Source organism: Homo sapiens, chromosome 6 (assembly GCF_000001405.40).
Source record: "Homo sapiens chromosome 6, GRCh38.p14 Primary Assembly".
Taxonomy (NCBI): Eukaryota; Metazoa; Chordata; class Mammalia; order Primates; family Hominidae; genus Homo; species Homo sapiens.
In genome coordinates this window covers 26,751,610-26,764,748 of record NC_000006.12, presented here as the reverse complement: position 1 = coordinate 26,764,748, position 13,139 = coordinate 26,751,610, and the positions used below count along the sequence as shown (strand labels likewise).

Sequence of the window (13,139 nt, the reverse complement as noted above, 5' to 3'; positions counted from 1 at the left end):
CCCCTTAATTAAACAGACCATATACCTTTCCTTATCTAGGAATTCCCATTCCAGTGCCTGGTCCACACATCCATTATTTCTCCTCATCTCCATTCCTCAAGGCCCATTCTTGATTCTTTCATTCTTATTTGAAAGAATGTAGCATGGAGGAATGTAGCATACTAGTTTTTCCCTCGGAATTGCATGACTCATTGTCATGCAAATTACGCAGTCTCAGGTGTTCCTTTTAGCAACACAAAGTAGACTAAGGTGTGTACATTTTTGTACTTGTCAAATGTGGTTAGAATACCAAATGAGGTACTGCCTCACAGATCCCTGAGATGTCATTACTTGGCATAACAAAATCATAATATAGATATCATAATAATGCATAAGCAGACAGGAAAAAACCATAATAATAACAAAACTCATTAAGGGATAGCCACGTAAGTTTATCAGTTAGTTCTCTCTAAACTCTGTAATATGAATGTGGCCAATCTCTGGGATTTAATAATACAAAAAACATGTTTTGGTCTCCCAGTGTCATTTTAATCTTATTCAGTAGGATATATTCTTTCCCTATCTCCATATGAAGACATACACAGTTTTATGCCTCATCCCAGGCAATACAGTCTCAGTCTCAAAGTTAAGATGCTGAGCTCCATGTAACACTCTAAAATTTAAACTTGACATAAAGATCAGATCTCTTCCTTTACCTACTGGGCCTGTTGAGTCAGCTAAAACTATTTGGATAGTTTTCTAAGGAAAATGTTTCATCTCTCTTTTCTTACCCTAACATTCTACCATTTGTTAACCACTGTTCTGAGACTTCCGTGTTTCAATCGTGGTGGAAGATGAGTTAAAGCCAGGGAGGGGTGGTGGGGAGAATAATAAAGTTCTTACTTTTAAATGGTGTTGTCATTAGCCAGTGTCATGCTTTCCATTCAGCTGTTTGAATACGAATAATTTTTTTAATACGATCCATGATTGTGGATTCTCGTGTGCATTTCCCTTGATGATGATGTACTCTCCTGTACCCCCTTCTTTATGACTGCTTTTCCAGCCACTGCAAAACTCAAAGCTTCCTTTTGCTTCTTTTTCCTTAGTTACGTTCATCCTTCCACATAGCCCACTGGGACTGGCTCAAAGTTGACCTCATGCTAGTGCTCCCTCTCTCCTGATTCCCACACCTGTCTTGTGGGAAAGGCCTACATCTGGTTGTCCCTGAAAAGCCCTGGGACTACAGGCCAATCCCAATATAGAAGGAACTTCAGGCAGTCAATCTGCCCATTTCTCCCCTTTACATTTCTCATGCATCTAACTACCGTATCTCCCATATTTTGGTGCCAGTGATTGAACTTGTTGGCACCTGTATTAGTCCATTGTCACACTGCTATAAAGAACTACTGGAGACTGGGTAATTTATGAAGAAAAGAGGTTTCATTGACCCACAGTGCCACAGGCTGTATAGGAAGCATGGCTGGGAGGCCTCAAGAAACTTACAATCATGGCGGAAGGCGAAGGAGAAGCAAGCATGCCTTACCATGGCAGAGTCGGAGAGAAAGAGCAAAGGGGAAAGTGTTACACACTTTTCAACAACCAGATCTCAGGAGAACTCACTCATTGTCATGAGAACAGCATGAGGGAAATCTGTCTGGAACAGGTTTGTGAACCCATTGAGGTGTTCATCCAGTGCTGTTTCAGAGAAATCTCTATTTCAATCTATTCCTATACATTAGTTACTGAAAAACAACAGACAATCACAAAAACAAGTTGACCTTTTTGTGATCCTTGAGCCCAGTTGCGAAGGGCCCTCGTGACCGGGCCTCATGCCAAACAACTCGTTACAAAAAGAGCTAGGGTTCCAGACTGGGCTGAAGCTTCATGAGACTTCTCCTCGTCTGTGCGCAGACAGCTGGCCAACTCTGGAGCCCAGGCTGTTGCTTCCCGGTCTGTTGGTGAATCCTCCATAGTCTGGTGAGTGTACATATATATGTATATACATATATATATATATATATATATATATATATATGTCTTTTTCCTTCCCATTGCAATTTGCTTATTATATCAGTCTGCTTATTATTTCATTTGCTTATTATATCTGCATTGCCATTTACGTGGGATAAAGGTTGTTTACCCTTAAAGGTGTTGTGTGGGTGTCTTTTCTTCTCCCTTTACATGTCTTCCACACAGAACATGTACACATGTATCTACAGGTGCATGTGTGTATGTAGAAGTGATTGCACCTGTGTTTATGTATACATGTCTGTGTACACCACATGCATGTGTAAATGTATGTGGGTACACGTGCATGCATGTGTATGCATACATGCATGTACACATGCACAAAGGTATCTACACATACATGTGTATACATGCATGCATGCATGTTTATGTATACATGCATGTACACCGTATGTATGTGTGTATGCATGTGTGTATTTTCAGACGCATATGCATATGCATACATGCATGTACTTGCATGTGCACACGTAGCTGCACATTCACGTGTGTATGTATACATGTATGTACACGTGTGTGCATGTGTGAGTGTGTAAAGATATGTAAACATGTATGTGCAAATGCATGTGGGTGTGTGTGCATGGATGTAGGTGTATCCATGTATTGTGTACACAGTATGCATGCATGTATGTGTGTAGATATATGTGCAGATAGACATGTGCTCACACGTCTGCATGTATGTGTGTACATGTGTATGTGTTTACCCACGTACGTGTGTATGCACGTGTGTACGCATGCATGTACATGCGTATGCATGTGTGTATGCATGCATGCACATGCGTATGCATGTGTGTATGCATGCATGCACACATGTATGCATAAATGTATGCATTGTGCACATGTATGCACATGTTTGTATGAATGATGTATATATACATACACGTATACACCATGTATACCAGCCTACAAATGCATCTGTGCACACACATGTGAAGGCGTGTGTATGCCTGAATACAAGTGTCCATACATACGTGTGCATATCCACACATACATGTGTACAACACGCATGTGTGCACACATGCATGTGCACACACAAAAATTCGTGTGCAAACACATGCATGCATGACATATATGTGTACATGGATATGTGGGTATACATGCATGTGCATACACACGTGCACGTGCATGCACACATGCACACATAATACATGTATATATACATACATGTTTGCGTGAAAAGCACGATGCATACATGCACACAAACATAAATGTGCATACGCACGTACTTGTGCATACAAATGCACATGTGTACCCATACATGCATTCAGACGTTTGTGCAATGTATACATACACCTATAAGTACATACACACATATACACTCATACATGTTTGCACACACGCATACGTACACACATGCACGTGTACAAATACATGTGTGCGTGTGCATGCATTTGTGCATATTCATTGATTGTGTGCACAATATGTATGTGTGCATGTATGTGTGTATACGTGTATGTGTAGATGCATACGTGTATGTTAACATGCATGTACACTCATGTAAACATGCATCAACACATTTATACACGTATTTATTTGTGTATCAGGTTTGTATACACGTACCTAAACATGCATGCGAGCATTCGTGCATGTATGTACACGAGAATGCATATGTGTATGCATACGTGTATGTACACATATAAGCACAGGCATCTACACGTGTGCGTGCGCACCTATGTGCACACTTATGTATACATGTATGTGCACGTGCATAAATGAATTAAGAAAGAAACAATTCACCCAAACAAGGAGGAAAAGATGAACATCTCAAGTACCTATGAGCATTTTTACATGCAGACCCCTTACTGACATTGACCAAGACAGATGACAAGAGATCATCAAGGAGAGAGTTCATTAGAAAAAGATACTGCTAACATTAGAGAAACATAGCATCAATCACCCATAGCATGGATGCTGTTGAGCTTCCACCTGAAAAACAAACAACAACAACAACAAACCTGGCGGGTAGAAATAGGAACAGGTTTAGCATTACATCCCTCCCTCCTTTTCCTGGGACCTGCATTGGGCCCCATAAGCTTGGCATGAACCTAAGTGAATAAGACACCAAAGGACTGAAGTTTACCACTACCTTCAGAATTAGGACTCAGAGCCAGGAATTTCTTTAGACTACATAACCAGTCTATGCATATGTGAGGATTTGGACTGTAGTTCACACTGGCTGCGCTTCCTTATGGAAACAGTGACTACAAGATGGAGGATATTAATGAAAGATAGCACACATCTATACTAAATGTCATAACAGCAAAAACCATAAGATAGTTACTGACAATGAGTCATGCAATTCCGAGGGAAAAACTAGTATGCTACATTCCTCCATGCTACATTCTTTCAAATAAGAATGAAAGAATCAAGAATGGGCCTTGAAGAATGAAGATGAGGAGAAATAATGGGTGTGTGGACCACGCAATGGAGTGGGAATTCCTAGATAAGGAAAGGTATATGGTCTGTTTAATTAAGGGACTCTAAAATACTTGTTAAAAAAAACAAAAAAAACAGCAAGTAGTGCTTTCCAGTAACAAAGTCTACTGCAAATTTCTTTCTGTACATGGGAAATAAGGACTGTGGGATTCTTTGGGTGGATCCCAGCACCTAGAGTTGGATCTGATCAAAAAGAAGTGCTCAGTAAACATTTACCTACTGCTTTGGTTGCCTTCCCCCTGTGGAGTGCTGGCCTCCAGGATTGAGCTTGCATCATAGGTGTTCAGTAGGAACTTGCTTAGTGGATTTACAGGTTGAGGTTAGAACCCATCAGGATTCTTTTCCTGGAAAGAACAGGCATGTGTTCTTCCCTTCCCTCTAAGTTTTCACATAGACACTGGGTGAGGAAAGAGCCCTAAATTGCTTGAAAAATTGATTGCTCTTTGAGCAAAGCAAGAAACCCTCCTGTGGAAGGGCATCATTTGGGCATATATCGGGGTCTCAGTACGAAGATGAGTGCTCAAGACGTCAAGATGCTTAAGCAGAGAATCTGACCAGAATGTTCGTGGTACAGAGAAACAGTTTTGTTGGGAGAAGGATGACAATTGAGGCTTTCGAATATAAGCTAAATAAGCTTCAAAGGGTATACAAAAAAGAATCAGGTACAAATCCTTTACTACATTCTTTTGTACAAATCAATTTTTGTCTAGAAAATCATACCTTACTATGCATCCCTATTGTGTTCCTCCACCATCTATTTTGTTTTTTTAAGCGTTATTTCATTTTCATGTTCACAGAAGCTTGTTGCTACAACTACATGAGCAAAACAGCCAGTAGCAACAGAAATGCATTAATATCTCTCCTCAGACCTTTAAAGCATTTTCCTTAAAGGTGAACAATATTCCGCATACAAGGACTTTTTCAGGACTATGTGCCAGAAATTATACTGAATGTTTCTTAATTTTCACGTAAATCGGTCAATATAGTTTTTCAGCTTCCCCAAGTATTATTACCCCAGTGTTATAAATGACACTGAAGTAAAGGGCATATCACTCTCTTTATTCTGTGTAGGTGTGTCTGCTTACAGCTAAGGATTTCCTAAATTATAGTTTTGTAAACATTAGTTCTAAATCATTGTGATCACTTGAATTTTGAAAATGTCAAAACCAATCACATTTATGTAGTAGAAAATAGAGGTTTGAGGTGCATTGGCTCGCTGTTTTATTTACTATGGATCAGTGGAGTAGAAATTCCCATCGCGGAAGAGGGTTCATTCCTGTCTCTCAGCCTCAGCAAAGTTAAACATTTCAGACCTTGCCTGACTTTGGATCTATTGCGCATGCTCTGTCCTTTACCACTATCCAGTCCTGGGGGCATATAGAGCCACTCAGAGCCTTAGAGGTACCCTCAGCGAAATGGAACCAATCACCATATAGTGTAGCCTATTGTTCATCTGACCAAAATGCACTATGTTGCGATAGCATGGATTCTACAGACCCGTGAAGCCCATTTGGACCACAAGACACTCTTTCCATCATGCCTGCACACATATCCCTCACTCTTCATTGATTCATGCAGACTTTTAAAAGTATTTAGCAATAAGCATCCTACCCCCAAGAAGCTTATGATCTCATGGAGAAGATGGCCAAGCAACAGACAATCCCGACATGGTGAATGCCGCTAAAACAAATGCTTACCTGGATCTCCGTGAGTGCTAGGAGGAAAGCAACCCAAACTCAGAAAAGTAGGAGAGGTGTCAGGGAAGACATTTTCCAGAAGATGGTTTCGTGTCTAACAAAGCCGTGAGACGAGCAAAGGGGAGGTGAAAGGCTCAGCGTTCTATGGGACATTTCCTTAATTCCAGTATCTCTCGAGTTGAGTGTGGGAAGCTAAAAGGGAGGAAATAGAAATGAAAAATGGGAGTTCTTGAGAGGCTTTACTTACCCTGCACAAGCCAAGGACAGGTCTGCGGGAAGTAAGCAGATGCAGTTAGGAAAGCCCATATCAGGAGTTAGTCACGACAGAGAAAGATTTGTACACTTTGGAAATCATAAAAGGATGAAAAGCCCAGGTCCTTATTTCCGTGTTTTCGCCTGTTTTTCACGTTCCTCCCGGATTTCAATTTCTTTCTGGAATCTCACCTCTCCTCATCATCTGCTCTTGCAGGAACACTAAACTGGAAACGCAACCCTACGATTCAGCGAACTATGTCCCATCAAGATTACTGGGTACAAATACATTTACTTTCGTGTTCTCTTGTGACTGTCTGTATCACTGCACACGTTTGTTACTGTGAAACAAGCATTAAAAGTCTGTGTAGATTACTGAGTACATATGCATTTCTTTTTTTTTCTTTTTTTTTTATTATACTTTAAGTTTTAGGGTACATGTGCACATTGTGCAGGTTGGTTACATATGTATACATGTGCCATGCTGGTGCGCTGCACCCACTAACTCGTCATCTAGCATTAGGTATATCTCCCAATGCTATCCCTCCCCCCTCCCCCCACCCCACCACAGTCCCCAGAGTGTGATATTCCCCTTCCTGTGTCCATGTGATCTCATTGTTCAGTTCCCACCTATGAGTGAGAATATGCGGTGTTTGGTTTTTTGATCTTGCGATAGTTTACTGAGAATGATGATTTCCAATTTCATCCATGTCCCTACAAAGGACATGAACTCATCATTTTTTATGGCTGCATAGTATTCCATGGTGTATATGTGCCACATTTTCTTAATCCAGTCTATCATTGTTGGACATTTGGGTTGGTTCCAAGTCTTTGCTATTGTGAATAATGCCGCAATAAACATACGTGTGCATGTGTCTTTATAGCAGCATGATTTATAGTCATTTGGGTATATACCCAGTAATGGGATGGCTGGGTCAAATGGTAATTCTAGTTCTAGATCCCTGAGGAATCGCCACACTGACTTCCACAATGGTTGAACTGGTTTACAGTCCCACCAACAGTGTAAAAGTGTTCCTATTTCTCCACATCCTCTCCAGCACCTGTTGTTTCCTGACTTTTTAATGATTGCCATTCTAACTGGTGTGAGATGGTATCTCATAGTGGTTTTGATTTCCATTTCTCTGATGGCCAGTGATGATGAGCATTTTTTCATGTGTTTTTTGGCTGCATAAATGTCTTCTTTTGAGAAGTGTCTGTTCATGTCCTTCGCCCACTTTTTGATGGGGTTGTTTGTTTTTTTATTGTAAATTTGTTTGAGTTCATTGTAGATTCTGGATATTAGCCCTTTGTCAGATGAGTAGGTTGCGAAAATTTTCTCCCATTTTGTAGGTTGCCTGTTCACTGTGATGGTAGTTTCTTTTGCTGTGCAGAAGCTCTTTAGTTTAATTAGATCCCATTTGTCAATTTTGTCTTTTGTTGCCATTGCTTTTGGTGTTTTGGACATGAAGTCCTTGCCCATGCCTATGTCCTGAATGGTAATGCCTAGGTTTTCTTCTAGGGTTTTCATGGTTTTAGGTCTAACGTTTAAATCTTTAATCCATCTTGAATTGATTTTTGTATAAGGTGTAAGGAAGGGATCCAGTTTCAGCTTTCTCCATATGGCTAGCCAGTTTTCCCAGCACCATTTATTAAATTTCTTTTCTTGTTCTCCCGTGACTTTTGATATCACTGCACACAACTGTTACTGTAAGATGAACATTAAAAAGTCACGTCTGGCCAGTACGGGGATCGAACCCGCGACCTTAGCGTTATTAGCACCACGCTCTAACCAACTGAGCTAACCGGCCCCGCTTACTAAAACCCCCCCTAAACCTCTTGAGAAGTTTAAAGGCGAACGTTATTTCAATCACCAAAGAAACTTTTCTGAACTTCTCGGAACTGGAAAGAACCTGCGATCTTTGCTAACTTGTTTATGATCCTCGGCAAATTTCTCCGAACCCTGACATTTCAATTAAAATACAATTCTGAGGAAGGAAAGTTCAAATGTCACCTGCTTCACTGTTTCATGACAAGGGGTTTCAGTGACCACCCTTTTAAACGCAACGCCATCACCTTCCGCCGGTACTTTGGCCTGCCCTTCTCACTCCTTTCTACTTTGCTTCCGTAGCTTCTGAGCAACCCGTGAAGAAATTGACGGAAAACGGAAGGAATTACCGCCAGTTTCTTTCCACGGGCCGTCAAGGCCAATATAAGTCCCCACCCAGGCTCCTCTGCTCGTAACTTCCAGCACGATTCCCACTGTATTAGCCCATGTTTCCCAGAAGTGAGTATTTGATCCCTACCCCACCCCATTTTTAGAAAACTCAGGAAAACGCTCTCGTATTTCTATCTGAAAAGGACACTTTAGAGAAATACGTTCCATTACAGTCTTTGTGTTCGCATTGTATTCCTTCTCGATGAAACAGGTATAAGTCCATTGGTATTTTACGCACGACAAGACAACTTTGCAGCCCGACTCATGACCTTTAGATTAAGAAACACTCTCCGGGAGCTCTGCTGATCGCTGGGTCTTACGAGGTTGATGCCTTCTGTCCCAAAGAGAACTATTTCCCTGCGTGTTTCCGCCTGGCTGCCCACTTCTCCAGTAGAGAAACAGCTGTTCCTCGGGATTCATTTTTGGAAGTTCTTTGGGTCCTGGGTAATGGGGCCGCATCCTGCAGCGTCGACAAGGTGGTTGAATACGCAGGAACACCCACAGTACCCAGGGACTAATAAATAGCTCAATAGATACGTTTCGAATAATTAAATAAAAGAAGTCTCAACCAACCCCCTTGCTGTATTACAGATGGTCCAGCTCTCTGCCTAGACTATTGTGCTAATGTCCTGTTCCTTCTCCCGGCTTTTGAACTAGATTCTCACCTCTCTCCAATCCATCTTTCGCAGGGCTGGCCTGTCTTTCCGCCTCACTTCTGAAATTCTATCCATTGCCGCCTCTGTGCAAACCGACTCTGGTTAATACTTCAGTCGGTATGGCTCCCCTCTTCCGCACTTTGCACTGCGAGAAATGCCCTTCTTTGAGGCAGCTGGAGGCCTCCTCCTCCTGAGAGCTTAATTGTGGACACAGCCTTGAGTAGAGGCGAAAAGGAAAGAAGGCTGGGAGACAATCGGGGAAAAACACACACCTTTGGTCTGGTTTGAAAGCTGGCGCCCGAAAAGGAACAAGAAAAAAAACACGCTTCGGAAGTGTCTGAGATTGCTGCGGCCATAAAGCAGAGCACTAACCCTGGTACTGATACGGGAGGGGAGCAAGACTCCACCCCCGGGCCTGTGCCCATGAACCTAGGTGAGGAGGGGCACTTCTTCCTCCGCGCCCAAATGTTGCATTTCCCAAGACCACCCTGGCCCGCCACGCCCCCATCCTGTGCCTATAAAAACCCCCGAGACCCTAGCGGGCACAGACACAAGCGGTTGGACATGAAGAGGAACACACCGGCGGGAGAACACAGAACACCCACCCTCTCTTTAGTCACCCTGGAGGCCTCGGAGAAGGCGGTTTCAGTGATCCGTGAAGAGACCCTGAGTCTTTTACATCCCGGAGAATGACAAGAGAGTACCTGGGCGACGTAACTTTCTGGGTTTTCCGGAGATGCGGTTTTCTACACGCCAGGGGCCAAGCCTGAGAAATAGGTGGACGGCAAGGACAGGAGCTCTCTCCGCGCCACAAACGCCCCTGCTCACACCTGGGTTCCTTGATTTTCCTGCCTATATAACCGAGCCACCCATGGCCGGGCTCCGAGCTCTCATTCTGCGGACTGGGACAAAGGGGTTAACTGTGATGTGCTTTGTATAACCCCAGGATTCTGCACTTGCCCAAGGGCGAGGTGCAAATCCAAAATCACGCACGACTGAACGCCGAGATCAGCTGAGTCCTGAGTGCCTCACGACACAAAATCCGTATGATTTTTAAAAGCGCTGTATTTGTGCTGACAATGCATGTCAGATCCCATCTGTCTTTAGCTCAATGTGTGACGTTAGACACGTCGTTTTGCTCCTCAACTTTCTTATTTGGAAAAAAAAAAACGAGTGTTCTAGATTTGCAGAGGGCCTTTTCAGAGCTAAGTTCCAGTAGCTATACTGTAAGTTGAACTCGGGCAGTCCTGTTGGTGAGGAAAAAGGACAAATTGAGAAATGAACAAACACAGAAGTTGCAAAAGCCCTGTGACTTACAGCACAGGACAAGTCTACAAACCCTGCCATGCCACACTAAGCTCAAGTTGTTTTAACATCAGTTTACTCAGACCCGATGATCCAAGGTAAGACCAAAGCCAAACGGATCCAGCAACTGGGCAGATCTTCATGTTCCAGCAGCTAAGTTCCACGGAATAAACCTATGATTCGCCTAGTTTAGAAATTGTCTAGTCCCTCCTCAGAAGGACCTTACTAACTTTCCCCCTAAAAGTGTCCTATGAATAGCTCCAGTCCCCAGACCCTTTAAATTCTGGTCTCTGACTCACCCTTGTTTTAGGCAGTACTGGGACTCCATAGAGGTACGGCTCTTTGCTCAGCAAGTTTAATAAATCCAAGGTAGTAGAATCAATTTGTTTTCTTGGTCGTCTTGTTTGGAGGGAGTGGGTCTTCTCAATGTTGGTTCTGATCCCTGCCTATGGATATTTATGAATAAATAGATATTTGCACTCCATCATCATGTGGAGCTACAAGTGTTAAATTTAACGATCTAATTACCTCTAAAATAACCACTAAATTCAACAATCTGAAACTTATCTAATTAGTTCCACATCCTGGAATGAAGGGATTTAATAGGTAATAACAGGTCTCAGTCTCTAATGGAGACATAATCACACAGACACCAGATGAAAGATGAGTAAAGTGGAAAGCAATAGGTAGAACAATAATTTGCTTTATGCTATGATTTTTGGAGCGAAGCAAGAAAATTAATCAAGGAAACAAAGAAGAAATCCAAGACTTAGTAGTGTTGGATTTGCGTTTTTGTCATATGACATTACTTGTATTTTACAGGATTCACTTGGTCTCCATCTGACCTCCTCAGAGTAGACTGCTCTTTCCCAATCACTCCTGCAATTACCCTAGGAGATATGTGATCCTAAAGTAACGGGGAGTTTTAAATTTACTTCTAAGTACACCTGCATGATGCCATTAGTCAGGGCAGGGTAGCTGAACAAACTCAGCTCTGAATCCTTTAAGCAGAGGTAATAATTGCTGACACTATTTAATCGGATTCTGAACATGATGTGCCACTTTTCCTTTTGCGTCTGAAGTGACACCAGCCATTTTCACAGTTTCTTCCACTAGGAGGTCCTGGGAGAAAAGTGATAAAGGTAGATTCAAGAATGGTTAGTTTGATAAGAGAAACATAAAGGCAAGTATCTTTTTCACTCAGTTCACCTTGGTTCTAAGAGTGGGTCTATATAAAGAAATGGAACATGCTTCTGCTAATTAATGTTCAGGCAGAAAAAGTCATGAATTCCACTACAAACCCATGTCCCTTCTTCCGAAGACATGACAAATTGATGAGGGTATGCTTTCTTCTGTCGGTAAAACGAAGTCTGGGATATAGATTGCAATATTAGCAGTGCCATAGTGCAGAATTTCTCATAATTAACACTTTTCACTTGAATACATAAGAAAATAGAATTGGAATGTAAAGTTAATAAAGTAATCATGTTATAAACAATATGAACATAAAAGCAAAAATTACATGGTCTTTGGCATGCAGTCTTTGATTTGGGGAATGCATTTTTTCTATTGTTATCAGGAAGAAAGAACAGAAACAGTTCATATTCACATGGACTAGACAAAAGTATGCATTTATGTTCTTACTCCAGAGGTATATCAAGTCCCCCAATTTTTCCTAATCTAGTCCAAAGAGAATTGAACTGTCTGCACCAACAGCAAAACATTGGTACACTGTATTGATAGTATCATTTAAATCTTCGATGAGCAAGAAGTGTCAAGTAAGTTGCAGATTTTGTTAAGCCCTGCATGCTCCAGAGGGTGGGAGAGAAACACAGAAACCATTCATCGACCTGGTTCGTGAATGAAAGTTTTTAGGATCTGTGAAATTCTGAGACATTTCCTCCAAAGTAAAGTCTCATTGTTGTATCTCGAAGCTCCCGTCACTTAGAAGGGAGCACTGTGCTCACCATGTTTCTCTGAGCTGTGAAAGCGGCGCGTTCCACACTTGGAGACCCTTCTCTGACACATTTACCAACAGATACTGAATTAAAATATTAACAAATTGAATCCAGCATTATCTGTAAAGCATAATGCACCATGAGTTAGGGGAGATTGCCTCGGGAATAAAAAATTAGTTAGGCATTGAAAAGTCAATTAAATGTAATATACCACATTAACAAAACAAAAAATACATGTAATCATCTCACTAGATGCAGAAGAAATATTGGACCAAATTTGCCATTCATTCGTGGTGTTTAAAAAATATCCCAGTAAGCTAAGAATAGAAGGAAAATTCCTCAGATGAATAATGGGCGTTTAAGAAAGTCCTACAACTAGCAATAGAGTTAATAGTGGAAGAATAAATATGTACCCTTTAATATTGGAGAAAAGTGCAAAATATCTGTCCTTACTACTTCTACATTTTACTGAAAGTCCTAGCTAGTGTCAGAAAGTAAGGAACGCATGAATGAAGAATAAATGGCATACTCACTTTAGAATAAGAAAAATATATTCGTTTGCAAGCAACATGATCAGATACACAAAAAATCCTAATGCATCTACAAAAATAAGCAT

General features: G+C 41.5%; 1 non-coding gene across 1 annotated transcript; it reads right to left on the bottom strand.

Moving 5' to 3' along the window:
* Positions 1–8,123: 8,123 nt before the first annotated feature.
* Positions 8,124–8,197, bottom strand: TRI-AAT6-1 (tRNA-Ile (anticodon AAT) 6-1). The gene has a single exon. It is a non-coding gene; the product is annotated as a tRNA-Ile (tRNA).
* Positions 8,198–13,139: the final 4,942 nt, after the last annotated feature.